Genomic DNA, 21,516 nt, shown 5'->3' with positions numbered 1-21,516 from the left:
TAATCATGTTTGTCTATAGCCTCCCCAATTCCTATCTTCTATTCATCATCACGAAAGTAGGCAATGTGACCCAGGCCTAGCTAATCAGAGACCCCCATTTTCCAGGCTACAGTGATGTGTTCAGGGAGAAGCAAATGATCTCATTAGACAAGTAAGAACCCTCCCTAGAACTTTTGTGATACAATCTAGTGGGTAAGACATTTACGTTTTTAGGATAGAAGTACAGGACAATTGATAGCCTGGAGCTTACTTCCTGTGTCACATGGAGGACATACATACAGTAGAAGAAAGGGAAGCAAGGAGACACAGAGACAAACAGAGACTGGGTCGGGGGGTAATGGGCAAGAGCAAATGAATTTCTCTGATAGTAGAGTCCTGACAGTTTTCTTCTATTTTATGAGTTAAAATTTCTTCCCAGGCTGGGCGCGGCGGCTCCCTCCTATAATCCTAGCACGTTGGGAGGCCGAGGTGCGTGGATCACCTGCAGGCAGCAGTTTGAGACCAGCCTGGCCAACGTGGTGAAACCCCTTCTCTCCTAAAAATACAAAAATTAGGCATGGTGACACATGCCTGTAATCCCAGCTATCTGGGAGGCTGAAGCAAGTGAATTGCTGGAACCCAGGAGGCAGAGGTTGCAGTGAGCCGAGATCGCACCACTGCACTTCTGCCTGGGCGACAGAACAAGACTCCGTCTCAAAATAACATAACATGACATAACATAACATGACATAACATAACATAACATAACATAACATAACATAACATAACATAAAATTTTTTCCCAGCTAGATGAGCTAATAAATTTCTTGTTCTGCTTAAACAGGTTTGAGTTGGGTTTCTATCATGTATAACTTCAAACATCCTGAGTAATATACTGGCTGAGGAAGTATCTGGGGATACAGTCCTGATTTTCTTTTCTATTCACTTAAATAACTGGCTTAATAAACCACTGAGGGCCCAGTGTTCCATGCTGAAGGAGATACTCATGTTAAGTCTAACCTAGAATTTTTCCAAAGCTGGTATTACTAAATCACAGCCAGAGGAAAAAAAATCTCAGTGTGGAAATGATCAGTAGCCAACTGTACAGGCATTGTAGCTTGTTTCTGATAAATGTTTGAGGATAAGTGAGTTGCAAACATTTTCCCTGAGAGATGCTATTCCAGTTAAATGTAGGGAGATATATATTTTAAAAGGTAATTGAGGAGAATCACCAGACTAAAGGGAATAGGTTTAGAATAGTTGATCTCGAGTTACTGTTGGTAAGGCTAATTTGGTAAGGAAGTTTTCTCTTTGGGCTATTGTTTGTACAAATATGACCATATAACAAGTTGGAGAACATTTACCTTTAGGTTTTGTGCAGTTAGGATTCATGCACCCAGGGGACATTCCTATTGTTTTGCATTCAAAGTAAATCTGAGTGGAATTCTGATTCCTAAGGATGGGAACAGAATTGAAAGAGGATCTAAGAACAAAGGATTTGAGGTTAAGATCTGCCCACAGGGAGTCTATGCTATAGAGAAAGTCTGGTGTTGTTACAATAAAGTAGGCCTTTGGAACCTAGTATGTCCTAATATACTTGGGGAGAAGCAATGAACTAAATGGAACCTGAAAGGAATAAGCATGCCAGAAGAATTCAGCATTTTTTTCATTTGTGGGATTGTAACCAAGTATTCCCATTTTTCTAAGAGAAAGAGAATGAGTTGGGTTTTTTTTAATTTTTTTCTCTTCTTTTCTCTTTCCTCCTTTCCCCCTGTTCCCTACTTTCTACTTGGCTCTTTAGAAATGCAATTAGAACCTCTATCTTCCCTTCACCAGACACTGTCTACAGATCAAGCTTATCTAACTGTGTGCTTGGAAGCTCCAGAGCCAAAAACCTCTCCCACCAGGAGATTGCCTCAAGAGATGACAGTCAATTTACAACCTAAAGTATGCCCACTACAAAACTCTTTCCTACATGGAGAATATCCTGAGACAAAGACCACTTTAAAAACTAGTTCTGCCCATGATGGCGCCAGCTCAACCATCTGGTAGATAAGGTACCAAAGTGAGTCACATGGACCCTCACCTGTTCACTCCCTCCCCTGTATGCCATTCATGCCAAGTTCTCCCTTTAAAAGCCCCTGCTTTGTGCTCCCAAAGCAAAGCAGTATCCATAAGGTAGGAGTACTTCTTCCCCTAACCTACCTTTGGAATAAAAAGTCACTTTCTTTATACTAGACCTCTCTCTTGTTAATTAGACTCCGCAAGTGGTGAGCAACTGAACCTGTAATTTGGTTACAGAATTTTGGTGAAACTTTTATTTGTTTCCTCAAAGACAAATAAGGCGCAAATGTGGAGAAACATAATGGGCCCATTCCAATTTCAGAAGAAGAATATGAAGTTAATGTAGTAAACCAGATGTTTCAGTATAACGGTCATTAAATTTCTTTAGCTGTATTGAAAATATGGGCCAACACCAACAATGTAAGGACTGCGTGAAGACAGAGAAATGACACCTCTCTAGCATTCTCTGGTCTGCAGCCAGTAGAGTGTTTTTAGTTGTCCTTGCCTGCTATGAATTGAACACAAAATTGTATATTGTTCAAGAATATTAATAATAAACTGAATGGCCTCAAATGAAACTCTCCTTCTGTACTCAATGTCTAGCACATTGCCCCTTTCTCTTCTCCTTTTAGGATTCCCATAATGCATGTTTTAGGTTTGATGGTATCCCACAGGTCCCTTAGGCTCTGCTCATTTTTCTTCCTTCTTTTTGCTTTCTACTCCTCAGATTGGGTGATTCCTGTTGCCCTATCTAAAAGTTTCCTAATTCTTTCTTCCACCTGCTCAAATCTTCTTTTGAACCCCTCTACTGAATTTTTCACTTCAGTTCTTGTATCTTTCAGCTCCTGAATTTCTACATGGTTTCACTTTATAATTTCTATTTTTTTAAACTGATATTACCTATTTGGTCATGAATTGTTCTCCTGATTTCCTTTAGTTTGTTTGTTTGTTTGTTTGTTTGTTTGTTTGTTTTTTGAGATGGGGTCTTGTTCTATCACTCAGGCTAGAGCACAGTGGTACGATCACAGCTCACTGCAGCCTTGATCTTCTAGGCTCAAGCAATCCTCCCACCTCAGCCTCACTAGCAGTTGAGACTACCTGGCTAATTTTTTCTTTTCTTTTTTTTTTTTTTTTCTTTTGTAGAGACAGATTCTCCCTATGTTGCCCAGACTGGTCTCAAATTCCTGGGCTCAAGTGATTCTCCCACATTGACCTACCAAAGTGCTGGGATTACAGGCATGAGCCATTGTGCCTGGCCCCTTTAGTTCTTTATCCATGGTTTCTTTCAGCTCTCTCAGCATACATAATTTAAAGTCTTTGTCTAGTAAGTCTAATATTTGGACTTTCTCATAGATAGTTTCTGTCCATTTCTGTTTTTCCTATGAATGGCCATACTTTTGTGTTTCTTTGTAGGATTTGTAGTTTTTGTTGAGAACCAGGTTTTCTAATAAAGGTTTAGTATCCAGAATATATTTAAAAAAAAAAAAAAACTCTTACAACTCAACAACAAAATGACCAACAATTCAATTAAAAAATAAGCAAAGGACCTTGAATAGACATTTCCCCACAGTAGATATACAAATGACCAACATAAAAAACATGAAAAAATGTTCAAAATCTTTGATTATCAAAGAAATACAAATGAAAACCATGAGATAACACTTTATATCCACTACAATGGCCATAATTTAAAAATTAAAATTTTAAATTAAAGAAAACAGAAAACAAAAAAATTTCTTTGATTATCAAAGAAATACAAATGAAAACCATGAGATAACACTTTATATCCACTACAATGGCCATAATTTAAAAATTAAAATTTTAAATTAAAGAAAACAGAAAATAACAAGTGTTAGTGAGGATGTGGAGAAATAGAAACACTTGTACATCGGTGTTTCTATTAAATAATGTATTAAATATTAAAATAGTGTAGGCATTGTGAAAAAGTCTGGTGGTTCCTCAAAAAGCTAAATATAGAATTACCACATAACCCAGCAATTTCAGGACTAGCTAAATATCTGAAAGAACTGAAGACAGGTACTCAAGCAAATACTTGTTTGTGAATGTTCATAGCAGCATGATTCACAACCAAAAAGTTGTTGATCCAAATGTCCCAAATTGCCCCCTCCATATATGGCAAGTTTATTTTATAAAATAACCTAAATGTGGGTGTTTATATTGCCTTTATTACTGCTGATATCACCAAAATTCAAACAGAGTATTTTGTTATCTATGCCCAATCTATATCCGAAAGGGAGCTTCACTCCAATGCTTTTCAGAAAATCAATATTCGTACAGTGAAACCTGAATTTAAACGAGTGCCATTTTAACCAACACAGCAGTACTTTTCAGTGCATCGGCAATTTTTGTCAGCTAAAAATACTTTAAACATAAAAGTATATGCTGGTGTGTCCGTGGTGAGTAACCTATCTGAAAAATATATAATTTAACACCTCCAACAATTTCATGTATCTTTCTGATTTAAGGTATTTCAAAGAATTAGGATTAGGCTTTTTTCCTGGAAATGTCTGAACATGTTTCCTGGAATGATCTAAAAATATCTTTGGCTAGATTAGGGCCTTAACTCTAAGACCACAATGAATACCATTAATAGTACCTTAGGCTTCAATAGCAGTTACAATGTGGCCTGCACTGCTTAAATTACTTGACATATAAATAAATATAGTCCTCACAACAACCCTATGAGGTATGTAGACTATTATTTTCCCAACTTTATCACTGAAGAAACTGAGGCAGGCAGAAGATAAGTAAGTTGCCCCAAGTGACATGGGGCAGGGGTCAGGATTCAAACCCAGGCAGGCTGTCCAAAGTCTTTTTTTTTTTTTTTTTTTTGAGAATGGCTGACCTCCATACAATCGAAGAATAAAAAAGAGAATTCTCTTTATCTATGAAATTAATAACAAATAGTAAATTAGTAGATTCTACCTAGTTATTTAACAGATAGTTGCCTTCTTTTATTGAGTTGCCAGGACACCTAAATGGTCTTTTTGAGGCCTAGAAAATTAAAGAGTGGCCATAAAGTCCCCTATTCTGCTAAGTACAAACCTCCTTCCTTTACCACCCAAATTTTAAAATTTCCCCATGTCCTCTGAACATTTTCTATATTGTCAATTACATGTCATCAAAACAGTCTCTAATACAGGCCTGATAGTGGCCATAATATCCATATGCAAATATTCTACCTGACAATAGTCAAAGACCTATAAACAGTAGCAGGGTCTGCTCTAATGACTTCCAATTATTAAAATGAAAGACTTCCAAAAGAAAATGAGAAAAAAGTAGAATCTATGTGGAGAATGGAGGGGGACTCATATGGTTTGGCTGTGTCACCACCCAAATCTTATCTTGAATTGTAGTTCCCATAATCTCCACATTTCATGGGAGGGACCTGGTGAAAGGTAATTTCATCACGGGAGGCGGTTACTCTCATGCTGTTCTCATGATAGTGAGTGAGTTCTCATGATATCTGATGGTTTTATAAAAGGCTTTTGCCCCTTTTGCACTTCTCCTTCCTGCCATCATGTGAAGAAGGATGTGTTTGCTTCCCCTTCCACGACGATTGTAAGTTTCCTGAGGCCTCCCCAGCCACGCTGAACTCTAAGTTAATTAAACCTCTTCCTTTAAAAATTACCCAGTCTCAGGTATGTCTTTATTAGCAGCATGAGAGTGGACTAATACAAGGATGCAGACATAAGTTCAACTGGCATGCACAAGGACTTTGTAGCCAGTGTGTAACTATGCTTATTTCACGAAATCATATTTCAGAATCTGGTCAGGAATAACATGGTCAAGGAAAGTTCAAGATGTACAACAACTGGAATCATCAGATAGAGTAGTTCAGATCACCAGGCTGAACTTGTACTGGGCAGATCTGGCTTCACGTAAAAATAAGAGAAATTAAGACCAATAGGTAGGCCACAGGATCTAGTTTTTAGCCCAGAGAAGAAAGCTTTAGTTAATTTCAAAGTCACATAGACAGAACAGACTTCAGAGCTCCAATTTTTAGGAAACAAGTAGGCAAAAAAAAGAGGTTCTGGGACTCAGGTATATAAGAAGGGTGAGTCAAGTCACAGCTTTGAAATTCTTCCATTGTCTCTAGCTTTCTCTTGACTCTCACCCACTAATGAAGATCTCTAACCTCCCTAATTTCTAGCCCAAAATATAGATACACATTTTCAGACTCCATGTGCTCTCTTGTTCTCTTCAACCACACCTCTAAATGAGAACCAGGGCAGATATAATCACTTCTATTCATTGCTTAATAACTGTTTAAATCTGTCTTAACAAGCTCATACATTTGCCTTTCTGTGTTTTACCTTAAATTGAAGACTGCAAGCCTTCATCTTTTAATGAAGATACCAACAGGCAGAAAAACAATAAGGAGGAAGGGAGGTTGATGATGAAATCCCCCTAGACAGAGAATCAACCATATTTCATATATTTTTTTTCTTTTTTGAGACGGAGTCTCACTCTGTCGCCCAGGCTGGAGGGCAGTGGCGTGATCTCGGCTCACTGCCAAGCTCTGCCTCCTGGGTTCATGCCATTCTCCTGCCTCAGCCTCCCGAGTAGCTGGGACTACAGGCACCCACCACCATGCGCGGCTAATTTTTTGTATTTTTAGTAGAGATGGGGTTTCACCGTGTTAGCCAGGATGGTCTCGATCTCCTGACCTCGTGATCCGCCCACCTCGGCCTCCCAAAGTGCTAGGATTACAGGCGTGAGACACTGTGCCTGGCCCAAATTTCATTTTTAAGGATACCCAGGGAGTAGAGTGAGGGCCAAACACAGCACAGCTACCCCTATCCAAACCGCCCTCCCCTACCCTGGAGATGTTGGGGTAAAATATCTTTACAACTCGCCTCTTCCAAGGCCTTAAGACAACTGTTCCCTATTACATGTTTGTGTTGGTCAGTTCCCCTTCCCTAACACTGGAACCCCAGAAGGGAAGAAAGTTGTTGCAGTCATTTGTAGAGGTAGTCCCTGAATTCATACGGGTACCAAACATTACTTTAGCCCAGGGTTCCTCAATCTCTGCACTAATGACATTCTTAAAGAAACAATTAGTCTGACAATTGTTAAAACAGTAAGAAAGATTTTATTTAGGACTACTGCAACAGGTATCAAGATTACCACAATAGATCAGAGAGATCAGGGACTCAACTCTGAATACAAAAAACACAGATGGGAATTACAGCCAATGAGCAGAGAGAGGGGGTCAGTGGATGGAATATTACTAAGAGGAGACATTGAGGGTAGGGGGATTCTTGATAATCTGACAAACAGGATTCTTGCTGAAAGCAGGCCAGAGTGATCAGATATCAACTTTGGGGGATGCAGAATTTGATCTGATATCAAATCTGATCAGGTATCAACAGTTGGAGGATTCTCACCAAACCGATTTAGCAGAATTCTCGCTAAAACTTAGCTAGACAGACTAAAGACAGGATGGGGCCACAAGTCATGGCTGAGTCGAGAAGAGGGCTCAGAGGAGCCTAAACAAAGCATGGTCAAGGACAATGCTTGTCAACATTTTGGCTCAGATAATTCTTTGTTGCTGGGGGCCTTTCTGTGCATGGTCAGCAGCATCTCTGGCTTCTACCTACTGATTGCCACTAGCATGTGTGTGCATGTGCACACACACACACACAAGTTGTGACAATCAAAAATAACACATTGCTAAATATCCTCTGGAGGCAAAAATCACCCCTGGTTGTGACAACTGCTTTAGACTACAAGCTGATAAACTTTTCCTATAAGAGGCCAGAGAGTAAATATTTTAAGTTTTGCAAGATACATACATTCAATATGCCTATTCCTTGTCTTTTTTTCCCAACTATTTAAAAATCTAAAAACTATTCTTAGCTAGTGGGCCATAAAAAAACAGGTGACTGGCCAAATTTGGTTCATGGGCCATAGATAGTTTGGGGAAATCTACATTAGACTAATTCCCACTCTTCGAATAAATATAGATGGCATATAGATAATGTCATATTTAGCAAAATATGGATTTATTTAAAAGCATAATTAGAGTTTAAGTAACTTTCTATCAATATTATTTTCTCAGTTAAGAGATAACAGAATTAGAGGCAGAATCTTGTAGCATTCTGAAGTATGTTTTTACATTAGAAAGATTTGCTCATTCTCAAACAGCCTAAGGAAAACCACTCTAAAATGTTTACATGAATCTGCCTTTTTCCCGCTAAACATAATCTAAACCTTGCATTCCCATCCCCAGGTCCCAAAATTCCCAGCTATATATTGTTGCTTTCAGGATTTGCTTTTATTGTTTCTTTTGGTTTATATTTATATTATATTTATATGTTTCTTTTGGTTTATATTTAACATGTTTTTCATACTTGCTCTCTTTATCTAGCATTCTGGAATACAGCTCTATAATTAATCTATTCCTGGCCAAGGGCAGTGGCTCACACCTGTAATCCCAGCACTTTGGGAGGACAAAGTGGGCAGACAGCTTGAGCTCAGGAGTTCAAAACCAGCCTGGGCAACATGGTGAGACTTCATCTCCATCAAAAATACAAAAAAAAAAAAAAAAAGCTGGACGTGGTGGTATGCTCCTGTGGTCCCAGCTACTAGAGTGACTGAGATGGGAAAATCAATCACTTGAGCCGGGGGAATGGAGAATGCAGTGAGCTGAGATTGTGCCACTGCACCCTAGCCTGAGTGATAGAGTGAGACTCTATCTCAAATAATTAATAAATAAATAAATGTAATCTATTCCTGACTATAGGGTCTGTGAATATGAAATAGGGCAGTGGGACACATTATCTTTCTTAAGGGTCAACTACATGAGAGCACAAATGTGCCACAATCTTCTCAGCTTTCCCTCCAAAAACAAATATATATTCATATCAGGATTGCCCTGGAAATGGTGATGCTAAAAGCAGCCACAGGACTACAAAGCTACCGAATATGAGTATTTAAGCTTTTAAGCTTTGTGGTGCTTTTGTTTTCAACAGCTACAACAAATGCCACAGAAAGAAAGAAAAAATATATATATATAAAAATATATATATATAATCTTTTGTTTATTTAATGTACTAGATTCCATTAGGTGAGATCTAAATTACTAGAATAAAAAGGAGGAAATATCTCTAAACAAATGCAGGAAAACATGTCCAATATGTAAATCCCAAATCCTATAGGATATATATGCCATGGGCTTATTCTTCCTTGATTAAAACATCAATATTAAAATTTCAGCTTTCATGCTGAGACCCTAAATAGCAAAGCAGCAGCTGATCATCAAAACGGTAGACATATTGTTTATTTTTAACAGTATTTTTAAATCATAAAACAATATATAATCATTGTAAGAAAAGAATATATAGGCCAGGCACAGTGGCTCATGCCTGTAATCTCAGCACTTTGGGTGGCCAATGCGGGAGGATCATCTGAGGTCAAGAGTTCAACACCACCCTGGCCAAATGGCAAAACCCTGTCTCTACTAAAAATAGAAAAATTAGTCAGGCATGGTGGCACATGCCTGTAATCCCTGGTACTTGGGAAGCTGAAGCAGGATAATCACTGGAAACTGGGAGGTGGAGGTTGCAGTGAGCCGAGATCACACCACTGCACTCCAGCCTGGGTAACAAGAAAGAAACTCCATCTCAAAAAAAAAAAAAAAGAATATATAGCAAACAAAAAGATAATAAAAATCACTCATAGCACCAACATGAGAGACAAACCACTTTTAAAACTTCAATATCTTTCTTTCCAGTCTTTTTTCTTTTCTTTACTTTCTTTTTTTTTTGAAACAGTCTCACTCTGTTGCCCAGGCTGGAGTGCAGTGGCACAATCTCGGCTCACTGCAACCTCTGCCTCCCAGGTTCAAGCGATTCTTGTGCCTCAGCCTCCCGAGTAGCTGGGACTACAGGCGCGTGCTACCACATCCAGCTAATTTTTTATTTTTAGTACAGATGGAGTTTCGCCATGTTGGCCAGGCTGGTCTCAAACTCCTGACCTCAGATGAACTGCCCGCCTTGGCCTCCCAAAGTTCTGGGATTACAGGGGTGAGCCACCACACTCGGCCCCTTTCCATTCTTTTTTCTATACTTTCTAATAATTTGATCAATTTTATAAAATCAGGAGCATAATCCAAGGAGAGAGGAAGTCAAACTATCTCTGTTTGCACACAATATGATTCTATACCCAAAGAATCCCACAGTCTCTGCCCAAAAGCCCCTAAATCTGATAAACAACTTCAGCAAAGTTTTAGGATACAAAATTAATGTATAAAAAACTGTAGCATTTCCACACACCAATAACATCCAAGTTGAAAGCCAAAGCAAGAATACAATGCCATTCACAATAGCCACAAAAAGAAAAATACCTAGGAATACAGCTAACCAGGAAGGTGAAACATCTCTACAATGAGAAGTCCAAAATCGTCATTGTAAATTTCTCAGAGAAATCAGAGATGACACAAACAAATGGAAAAACATTCCATGCTCATGGAGAGGAAGAATAAATATTGTTAAAATGGCCATACTGTCCAAAGCAATTTACAGATTCAATGCTATTCCTGTCAAACTACCAATGACATTCTTCATAAAATTAGAAAAAAGTATTTCAAAATTCATATGAAACCTCAAAAAAGCCCAAATGGCCAAGGAAATTCTAAGCAAAAAGAACAAAGTTGGAGCATCATGTTACCAGACTTTAAACCATACTACAAGGCTACAATAACCAAAACAGCAAGGTACTAGTACAAAAACAGACCATAGAGCAATGGAACAGAATAGAGAGCCTAGAAATAAAGCTATACATCTACAACCATCTGATCTTCAACAAAGTTGACAAAAACAAGCAATGGGGAAAGGACTCCCTATTCAATAAATGGTACTGGCATAACTAGCTAGCCATATACAGAAGATTGAAGCTGGACTTCCTCCTTATACCATATACAAAAATCAACTCAAGGTGAATTAAAGACTTAAGTGTAAAACCTAAAACTATAAAAACCCTGGAAGATATCCCAGTAAGTATCATCCTGGATATAGGCCCTGGCAAAGATTTCATGACAAAGGCACCAACAGCAATTGCAACTGCACAGCAAAAAAACTATCAACAGAGTAAACAGACAAACTACAGAATGGAAGAAAATATTTGCAAACTATGCATCCAACAAAGATCAAATATCCAGAATCTATAAGGAGCTTTTTGGATGAGTTTTTAGGGTTTTCTAAGTATTTGATTCTGTCATCAGTAAACAGGGACAATTTGACTTCCTCTTTACCAATTTGGATGCCCTTTATTTCTTTGTCTTGTCTGATTGCTCTGGTTAAGACTTTCAGTACTATGTTGAATAGAAGTGGTGAAAGTGGGCTTCCTTGTCTTGTTCCGGTCCTCAGGAGGAATGCTTTCAACTTTTCCCCATTCAGTATAATGTTGGCTGTGGGTTTGTTATAGACAGCTTTTATTACCTTAAGGTATGTCCCTTCAATGTTGATTTTGCTAAGGATTTTAATCATAAAGCAATGTTGGATTTTGTCAAATACATTTTCTGCATCTATTGAGATGATCATATAATTTTTGTTTTTAATTCTGTTTATGTGGTATATCACATTTATTGACTTGTGTATGTTAAACCAATCCTGCATCCCTGGTATGAAATCCACTTGATCATGGTACGTTATCTTTTTGATATGCTGTTGGATTCAGTTAGCTAGTATTTTGTTAAGGATTTTTGCTTCTATGTTAATCAGGGATATTGGTCTGTAATTTTCTTTTTTTTTGGTACGTCCTTTCCTGGTTTTGGTATTAGGGAATACTGGCTTCACAGAATGATTTAGGGAGGATTCCCTCTTTTTCTGTTGGAATCATTTCAGTAGGATTGGTAGCAATTCTTCTTTGAATGTCTAATAGAATTCGGCTGTAAATCCATCTGTTCCTGGACTTTATTTGTTGGCAATTTTTTTATTACTGTTTCAATCTCACTACTTGTTATTGGTCTGTTCAGAGTTTCTATTTCTTCCTGGTTTAATATAGGAGGGTTGCATATGTCCAGGAATTTATCCATTTCCTCCAGGTTTTCTAGTCTGTAGCCATAAAGGTGTTCATAGTAGCCTTGAATAATCTCTTGTATTTCTGTGGTATTGGTTTTAATATCTCCCATTTCATTTCAGATTAAGCTTATTTGCATCTTCTCTCTTCTTTTCTTGGTTAATCTAATGATCTATCAATTTTGTTTATCTTTTTAAATAATCAAGTTTTGTTTCATTTATCTTTTGCCTTTGTGTTTGTTTCAGTTTTATTTAGTTCTGCTCCAATTTTTGTTATTTCTTTCCTTCTGCTGGGTTTTGGTTTGGTTTGTTCTTGTTTCTCCAGGTCCTTGAAGTGACCTTAGATTATCTATTTGTGCTCTTTCAGACTTTTTGATGTAGACATTTATTTGCTATGAACTGTCCTCTTAGCATCGCTTTTGCTGTATCCCAAAGGTTTTGATCAGTTGTCACTATTATCATTCAGTTCAAAGAATTTGTTAATGTCCATGTTGATTTCATTGTTGACCCAAAGATCATTCAGCAGCAGATTATTTCATTTCCATGTATTTGTATAGTGTTAAGGGTTCCTGTTGGAATTAATTTCCAATTTTATTCCACTGTGGTCTGAGAGAGGAGTACTTGATATAATTGCAATTTTCTTTTTTTTTTTTTTTTGAGACACAGCCTCACTCCGTCACCCAGGCTGGAGTGCAATGACACGATCTCAGCTCATTGCAACCTATGCCGCCCAGATTCAAGCAATTCTCCTGTCTCAACATCCCAAGTAGCTGGGACTACAGGTGCACACCACAACACCCAGCTAATTTTTGTATTTTTAGTAGAGACGGGGTTTCACCATATTGATCAGGCTGTTATCGAACTCCTGACCTCAGGTGATCCACCCACCTCAGCCTCCCAAAGTGCTGGGATTACAGGAATGTAATCCCAAAGTGGCTGGGATTACACAACCGCCCCCAGCTCAATTTTCTTAAATTTATCGAGACTTGTTTTGTGGCCTATCTTATAGTCTATCTTGGAGAATGTTCCATGGGCTGATGAAAAGAATGTATATTCTGCAGTTGTTGGGTGGAATGTTCTGTAAATATCTGTTAAGTCCATTTGTTCTACGGTATAGTTTAAGACCACTGTTTTTCTGTTGACTTTCTGTCTTGACGACCTGTCTAGTGCTGTCAGTGGAGTACTGAAGTCCCTCACTATTATTGTGTTGCCATCTATCTGATTTCTTAGGTGTAGTAGTAATTTTTTTATACATTTGGGAGCTCCAGTGTTAGGTGCATATATATTTAGAATTGTGTTATTTTCCTGCTGGACTAATTCTTTCATCATTATATAATGTTCCCCTTTGTCCTTTTTAACTGTTGTTGCTTTAAAGTCTGTTTTGTCTGATATGAGAATAGCTACTCCTGCTTGCTTTTGGTTTCTATGTTTCCATTTGCATGGAATATCTTTTTCTATCCCTTTACCTTAAGTTTATGTGAGTTCTATGTGTTAGGTGAGTCTCTTGAAGACAGCAGATACTTGGTTGGTGGATTTTTATCCATTCTGCCATTCTGTATTTTTTAAATGGAGCATTTAGGTCATTTACGCTCAACGTTAGTATTGAGATATGAGGTACTGCTCTATTCATCATGCTAGTTGTTGCCTCAATACCTTGTGTTTTTTTTTCATTGTGTTATTGTTTTATAGGCCCTGTGAGATTTATGCTTTAAGGAGGTTCTATTTTGGTGTATGTTGAGGTTTTGCGTCAAGATTTAGAACTCCTCTTAGCATTTCTTATAGTGCTTGCTTGGTAGTAGCAAGTTCTCTCAGCATTTGTCTGAAAAAGAGTTTATCTCTCCTTCATTTTTGAAGCTTAGTTTCACTGGATACAAAATTCTTGGATGATGATTATTCTGTTTAAGGAAGCTAAAGATAGGACCCCAATCCCTTCTGGCTTGTAGGGTTTCTGCTGAGAAATCTGCTGTTAATCTGATAGGTTTTCCTTTATAGGTCACCAGATGTTTTTGCCTCACAGCTCTTAAGATTCTTTTCTTTGTCTTGACTTTAGATAACCTGATGACTATGTGCCTAGATCATGATCTTTTTGCAATGAATTTCCCAGATGTTCTTTGAGCTTCTTATATTTGGATGTCTAGATCTCTAGCAAGACCAGGGAAGTTTTCCTTGATTATTCCCTCAAATAAGTTTTCCAAACTTTTAGATTTTTCTTCTTCCTTAGGAATACCAATTATTATGTTTGGTCATTTAACATAATCTCAAATTTATTGGAGGCTTTGTTCATTTTTTTAATTCTTTTTTTCTTAGTCTTTGTCAGATGGTTAATTCAAAAGCCTTGTCTTCAAGGTCTGAAGTTCTTTCTACTTGTTCGATTCTACTGCTGAAACTTTCCAGTGTATTTTGCATTTCTCAAAGTGGGTCTTTCATTTCCAGAAGTTGTGATTATCTTTTCTTTATGATACCTATTTCTCTGGAGACTTTTTCATCCATATCCTGTTTTTTTTTTTAATTTCTTTAAGTCGGTTTTCACCTTTCTCTGGTGCCTCCTTGAGTAGATTAATAATCAACCTTCTGAATTCTTCATCTAGCAATTCAGAGATTTCTTCTTGGTTTGGATTCATTGCTGGGTAGCTTGTGATCTTTTGGGGATCACATTCTGTCATATTACCAGAATTCCTTTTCTGGTTCCCTCTTATTTGGGGAGACTGTTTCAGTGGAAAGATCTGGAACTCAAGAGCTGCTGTTCAGATTTTTTTGTCCCACAGGGTGATCCCTTGATGTGGTGCTCTCCCCCTTCCCCTAGACATGCGGCTTCCTGAGAAACAGACTGCAGTGATTGTTATTGCCTTTCTGGGTCTAGCCACCCAGTAGGCCTACCAGGCTCTGGGCTGGTGCTGGGGAATGTCTGCAAAGAGTCCCGTGATGTGATCCATCTTCAAGTATCCTAGCCATGGATACCAGCACCTGCTCTGGTGGAAGTGGGAGGGGAGTAAAGTGGACTCTGCGGGAGTCCTTGGTTTTAGTTTTGTTTAGTGCACTGGTTTTCTCAAATGCTGGTTATGCTAGCTGTGAAGCTGTCACACAGACAGACTCACGACCTCTGGTTAGCCAGGGTGTTGCAGGTAGTGGAATTAGCTGTTGTTTTCTCCTTCTTTGGAGCAGGGTTCTGTTATGAGTTGCTATAATAACTTCAAGTGGTTGGTTTCCAGCCAGGAGGTGGTGCTTTCAAGAGAGCACTTGCTGCAGTAGTAGAAGGGGGATATAACCTTGCCCTACATAGGCAAAGATAAGTGCTCTGGTTTCTCAGGTGATGGGTGGGGCCATAGAACTTCCAACCAAGAGTTTATGTGTTTTTGGCTACTAGGGCGGGGAGAGGAAAAACATCAGGTGGGGACAGGGTTAGGCGGGTCTGAACTCAGACTCTCCTTGGGTAGGATTTGCTGCGGCCACTGAGGAGGATGGAGGGTAGTTCTCAGGCCAATAGAGCTATGTTCCCAGGTGGATTATGCCTGCCTCTGCTGCACCCTACAGGTCATCAGGGAAGCGGGGAAAGTCGGCAATGACAGGTCTCACCCAGCTCCCAGCAAGGCCAGTCTCACTCCCACCATGCCTCGATAACAGCACTGAGTTTATATCCAGCAGCTGGCAAGCAGGGCTGAGATCTTGCCCCAGGCTACAAGCCTCCCTGCTGAGAAAGCAAGCAGGGCTCTCAGGCCTTGCCCCTCCCCACCTGCCTGCACCTTTGGCTGTAGCTTCTGCACTCCTATCCGCGCTTCCTGTTCACTCCTCAACCCTACATTCTACTCAGGAAAATTCGTGCTCAGTCAAAATTATTACAAAGTTCAGCTAGGAGTTTCCTTCACTCTGTGGCCCCTCCCCAATTCTGCTGGCTGCCTTCCCTTCCCCAAAGACCCCTGTGATATAAGGCCAGGAATGGCTTCCCTGGACTCTAGCTGGGGACCTGGAGTGCCTACAGTGCTCTTCCCACTACTTCTTCTACTTTTATATTTCACTCAGCTCCCTAAATCCGTTTCAGCTCTAGGTGAGGTTAAATCCTTCTCCTGTGAGCTGGATTTTCAGGATTTTCAGGTTCCCAGTGGGATGTGGGTGCAGAGGCAGACTTCTCCTCCTCTCACACCTTGGGAACTCACGTAGAGTTTGCAGCGGTAAGCTGCTTCTTTCAAAGGGTCTGTGAATTCTTTCAGTTTTCCTGGTATGTTCCTGTGGTGGTTCTTGGAGCAAAACTTCACAATGTGAGTCTCCATATGCTGTTCTGTCTGTCTAAGTGGGAGCTGCCTGTTAATCCTGTCTCCTATCTGCCATTTTCCCACTCTCTCTCCACCAGCTCGAGTTATTTTACAAAAGTAGGAAGCATGTAGAATTGGTAGAAATCAGTTGGCTCATTTAAATATTCATTTGTCCTTTCATATGATCAATATTGAATACTTACGTTGGGTGATAGACGCACAGAAATAAATAAGATGCAGCTCACGGTCTAAAAGAGGTAACTGAACAAACAACTAAAACAGTTTGATGAGTCAGATGAAAGGAAAAGAATGGAATACTATGGCAGCATTTGCAATCCCATTACTGGGTATATACCCAAAGGAAAATAAGTTGTTCTGCCAAAAAGACACATGCACTCACACGCTAATCACAGCACTATTCACAATAGTAAAGACATAGAGTCACCCTAGGTGCTCATCAACAGTGGACTGGATACAGAAAATGTGGTATATGTACATGATGGAATATTATGCAGCCATTAGAAAAGAATGAAATCACATCCTTTGCAACAATATGGATGCAGCTGGAGGTCATTATCCTAAGAGAATTAATGCAGGAACAGAAAACCAAATGCCACATGTTCTCACTTATAAGTGGGAACAATAGACACTGGAGACCATTAGAGTGGAGAGAGAGTGAGGGGGGAAAGAGCTGAAAAATTACCTATTGGGTACTATGCTCACTACCTAGGTGACAGGACCATTTATACCCCAAACCTCAGCATCACACAATATACCCATATAACAAACCTGCACATATGGATAAAAGAAAAGCATTGCCCACAATGGATGACTGATTGTGGAGGAGCTACACTGGTGAATGCAGAGGAGTGTCATGATCAGAATACACCAGTCATAACATAAATGAATGGAAAGAAAACACCAATTATAGTAGTTGAGAAGAGAGATGATGAAGGTCTGGACCAGAACCCTTACAATGAATGTAGAGAAGCAGAAGTGTAGTTTTAAGAGAGATTTAGCAGGTGAACTCAAGAGTCCCAAGCAGATATGCAGAGGGAAGAAAATGAAGTAAAGGATAATCCTAGATTTCTGGCTTGAGCCACTGAAAAAGAAAGGCAGCAAAGCACAGTAATTAGGACTACATGCTCTAGAACCAGACAGCCTGGCTTGAATTCCATCTCCATTAATTAATCCTTTTGTGACCTTGAGATAATTTCTTAAACTCTATGTGGTTCGGTTTCCTTATTTGTACGATGAGAAAAATAATAGAATGTATCTCAAAGGATTTTGTAAGGAATTACATGGAAGATCTTAGAATAGTGCCTGGCACACAGGAAACACCTGATAAATGTTAGCTACATTTGGTTGATGGTTGATGGTGATGCCATTTACCAATACAGGGAATATGAAAGAAGGCACGGATTTCAGGTGTGAAGAACAATGAGTTCAATGCCAGACACGATAACCTGACCTGACTGTGGGACATCCAGGTCTAAAGCTTAGGAGAGAGTTGTGGGAGTTGGATGCTACTTTATAAAGTGGACGCTAAGGTGATGTCTGAGCAAGTTCCTAGCCAACATGAAAAAGCAGGCCCTGAGGGAAGAACATGTGGGTGAGATGTGGAAAGAAGAAAAAGCTTGGAAATTTCCTAAATCCAAGGGATGAACAGAGAAAAAAAAGACTGAAAAGAAGAGGAAGACTCACAAACGATTCTTCTAATAAAGAAGTACCATAAAACTAAAGAAAAAAACAAAAATATGAATGACATTGAGATGAGGAAAATATACCATCATCCATAGGGAACAGGCTTAAAGATAAGAAATACAGGGCAGGGACAAAAAGATACATCTCAATAAAAAGTGACATTCCCTAGAATAGTGTTTTAAGGTTTACTATTTGAAAGAATTACCTAGAAGAACTGCATAATGAAATCTCCAAGTTAAGGGCCAAAGGCTCTTTTCCTTAACAAGAAGGAGAAGCCTCAGAAAAATATTATATAGTAAGCAAGAAAATATTTTTCTTTTTTTTTTTTTTAAATGGAGTTTTGCTCTTGTTGCCTAGGCTGGAGTGCAGTGGCGCAGTCTCGGCTCACTGCAACCTCTACCTCCCAGGTTCAAGTGATTCTCCTGCCTCAGCCTCCCGAGTAGCTTGGGATTACAGGTGCCTGACACCACACCCGGCTAATTTTTGTATTTTTAGTAAAGATGGGGTTTCATCATGTTGGTCAGGCTGGTCTCGAACTCCCGACCTCAGGCGATCCGCCCGCCTCGACCTCCCAAAGTGCTGGGATTACAGACATGAGCCACCACGCCCGGCAAGAAAATATTTTTCAAGGAAAGAAATCAGAACATAATCTGACTTCAGCAAAAAATAATCCAAACTGCATTTTACAAATAAATTTCTGGCCCCAAGTTTTCAGTTACTAAACCCAAAGAGCCATTTAAAATCACATCAATTTTGGGCTTGAAGAAAGTGAGAGACATCCATTTAATCCAGATCATAGATATGAGAACTACTTTGGAGAGCTCGTTAAAATGCACATAAACTGAGTTATCCAAGACGTATTGAATCAAAATCTCCTGGTATGTGGTCAGGAAAAATTCTCTGCTTCTTGAAATGTCTAAAATAAGCTTACCAGATGATTCATGTGCACACAGTTTGAGAACCCGTAATGTATCTGCTCAGGAGACCAAGGACAAGAAAAAATAAATGGCTTGCACAATAGCACATATCAGAATCACCTAGAGCAGGGGGTCCCCAACCTCTGAGACCCAGACTGGTACCAGTCTCTGGCCTGTTAGGAACCAAGCCACCAAGCAGGAGGTAAGCAGTGGGTGAGCTTTACTTCCTGAGCTCCACCTCCTGTTAGATCAGCAGTGGCATTAGATTCTCATAGAAGCGCAAACCTTATCGTGAAATGCACATGTGAGGGATCTAGGTTGCACACTCCTTATGAGAATCTAACTAACGCCTGATGATCTCAGATGGAACAGTTTCATTCTCAAGCCACGCCATCCCCGTCATCCATGGAAAAATTGTCTTCCACAAAACCAGTCCTTGGTGCCAAAAGGTTGGAGACTGCTGACCTAGAGGGCTTGTTAAATATAAACCTCAGCCAGGCACAGTGGCCCACGCCTGTAATCCCCACACTTTGGGAGGCTAAGGCGGGCAGATTGCTTGAACTCAGGAGTTCAAGAAGGTGGGGCAACATGGTGAAACCCGTCTCTACAAAAAATAAAAAAATTAGCCAGGCATGGTGGCAGGTGCCTGTCATACCAGCTACTCAGGAAGCTGAGGTGGGAGGATTGTTTGAGCCCGGGAGGTCAAAGCTTCAGTGAGCCAAGAATGTGCCACTGCACTCTAGTCTGGGCAACCAGAGTGAGGATTTGTCTCAAAAAAAAAAAAAAAAACTCTGAGCTCCACCCTCTGGGCTTCTGATTCAGTCCAAGAATTTACATTTCCAACAAGTTCCCAGGTGAAGTTTGCACTGTTCATCTGGGGACCGCACTTTGAGAACCTCTAGTCTAGACTAGAGTTGTTAGAGACTTTTCTCTGAGTACATCAGTTCAGTGTGGCACTATACACTTAAAGACCAAGACAAGGGTATTTCAGAAATGATGTTAAAAATGAAATGGAAAACACGACCAAACATAAATTATACATATTTATTTTAAGCCATTCTGGTCAATTAGAACAGACAAAAAAAAAAAAAAAAAAAACTGGAAAAGATCCAAACTATGCTCGAAAGAAATTATAAGGGTCATAGAATATGTGAAGAGACCAAAATGGATGAATTAATTAAAAAGACTAAATTTACAAAAGAAGGCACAGATTATAATTTAAAAATTGATAAAATTATGAAAAGATATGTGCAAAATGAACAAATTTCAGATTTACAGCATTATGTAGGTGGTTTGATTATTTGACCCTAACAAGTCACTTTTTAGGTATATTTTTGTGTTATTTACTAAAACAGTTTTGGGGCTAGATTTTTATTCAAAACCACTTTTGAAAATGGCTTCCCACTGGCTCCCCACACAAAGCCAGGGAAGCCACAGAGAAACATTCCTCACTCACCACCCCAATTCTGCATGACTCAGACATTCCTGGCATTACATTAGAAAGGAGAGCCTTCTAATGCTGCCATAACTGCTCTTCTTTTCTCATGTAGACGACTTTTAACCCTGAAATAGCATATTCAAATATACAATTATCTCAACAGCTCAGAATATCTGTAATTGCCTCTATCCACCTGCTATTTGTCTCACTGTTCTGAGAACACAACCAAATTTCATAACAGATGAATTCTACTGACAGCCTCTCCTGAGGACTATCATACACATTTTGCATCATACTGTCTTCAAGCTTTCAGAGTCCATCTTCAAACCCATTTTCCACTTGGGTGGTCCTTGTTATGCTACCTTTAGTATCCACCATCATTTCCTCGGAAGAAACCAATACACCCAAGTGTTACATCCTTTCATTATCCAAGTCAGTCCTACAACCACCTAAGCTACTCCCTCTACCTTCTTAGTATCCTTGCCAGGCCTTCCCTTTTACATATATTTGTTTTTGTACTCTTCACACCCCACTCCCAAAGTCTCCTGCACAACTCAAAATAACCTCACGTCTAAGGCAACAATATTTGGTTTCTGACCTTTTCCAAACCAGTATAAATATCATTCTATCACTCATGCTGCTTTCTAGAGCTAAGAGGCAAGAACATGTTCCAAACAACTTCTGCTCTACAGACAGGTGAATGGTTGTAAACGACTATAGGTTATCCCCAGGATTCATGAGTGGCTAATTCTTTATCATAAGAATGTTCATTCTGCTAAGGACCTTGAAATTAAAGCTCCCTAAAACATCAGAGGAGCTCTCATTGGTTGGAGTTAACTGGGAAAAGCCCTGTAACAGAGGATACACACACACATTCCAAACTTAAGACCAAAACTCAGAGTTCATCAGAGTCAAATCCCGAATTTAAGAAGTCATTACCCAACAAATGCTAACATAAAACTTAAACACAGGCTCAATGCCTATTAACAATTATTAAATCTTAGTCTAAAATGAGCTCCAAATTTATGCAATACCACTTTGTTCCTGAAATACCTTAATTAGAAACAGAACTTCATAAGAAGTCCTACGTGGACATAAAACTGCTATTTATGATTATCAGCTTT

The 21,516-nt window shown here is 39.3% G+C and overlaps 1 protein-coding gene across 7 annotated transcripts in view, besides 5 other annotated features; it reads right to left on the bottom strand.

Moving 5' to 3' along the window:
* The window catches only part of FHIP1A (FHF complex subunit HOOK interacting protein 1A), a 261,328-nt gene that overhangs the window by 165,169 nt on the left and 74,643 nt on the right, over window positions 1–21,516 (bottom strand). The window lies entirely within an intron of this gene.
* Window positions 15,879–16,512: an enhancer, noted in NCBI's record as "NANOG-H3K27ac-H3K4me1 hESC enhancer chr4:152409975-152410608 (GRCh37/hg19 assembly coordinates)". NCBI's record gives its function as "activates a minimal SCP1, AML or CMV promoter by ChIP-STARR-seq in primed H9 embryonic stem cells {active_cell/tissue: H9 hESC(primed)}" and the evidence as "EXISTENCE:reporter gene assay evidence [ECO:0000049][PMID:30033119]".
* Window positions 18,615–19,313: an enhancer, noted in NCBI's record as "H3K27ac hESC enhancer chr4:152407174-152407872 (GRCh37/hg19 assembly coordinates)". NCBI's record gives its function as "activates a minimal SCP1, AML or CMV promoter by ChIP-STARR-seq in naive H9 embryonic stem cells {active_cell/tissue: H9 hESC(naive)}" and the evidence as "EXISTENCE:reporter gene assay evidence [ECO:0000049][PMID:30033119]".
* Window positions 19,314–20,013: an enhancer, noted in NCBI's record as "H3K27ac hESC enhancer chr4:152406474-152407173 (GRCh37/hg19 assembly coordinates)". NCBI's record gives its function as "activates a minimal SCP1, AML or CMV promoter by ChIP-STARR-seq in naive H9 embryonic stem cells {active_cell/tissue: H9 hESC(naive)}" and the evidence as "EXISTENCE:reporter gene assay evidence [ECO:0000049][PMID:30033119]".
* Window positions 20,113–20,768: an enhancer, noted in NCBI's record as "OCT4-NANOG-H3K27ac hESC enhancer chr4:152405719-152406374 (GRCh37/hg19 assembly coordinates)". NCBI's record gives its function as "activates a minimal SCP1, AML or CMV promoter by ChIP-STARR-seq in primed H9 embryonic stem cells {active_cell/tissue: H9 hESC(primed)}" and the evidence as "EXISTENCE:reporter gene assay evidence [ECO:0000049][PMID:30033119]".
* Window positions 20,769–21,425: an enhancer, noted in NCBI's record as "OCT4-NANOG-H3K27ac hESC enhancer chr4:152405062-152405718 (GRCh37/hg19 assembly coordinates)". NCBI's record gives its function as "activates a minimal SCP1, AML or CMV promoter by ChIP-STARR-seq in primed H9 embryonic stem cells {active_cell/tissue: H9 hESC(primed)}" and the evidence as "EXISTENCE:reporter gene assay evidence [ECO:0000049][PMID:30033119]".

This window comes from Homo sapiens, chromosome 4 (genome assembly GCF_000001405.40).
Source record: "Homo sapiens chromosome 4, GRCh38.p14 Primary Assembly".
In the NCBI taxonomy this organism is placed as follows: Eukaryota; Metazoa; Chordata; class Mammalia; order Primates; family Hominidae; genus Homo; species Homo sapiens.
This window is presented reverse-complemented; position numbering and strand designations above follow the sequence as displayed.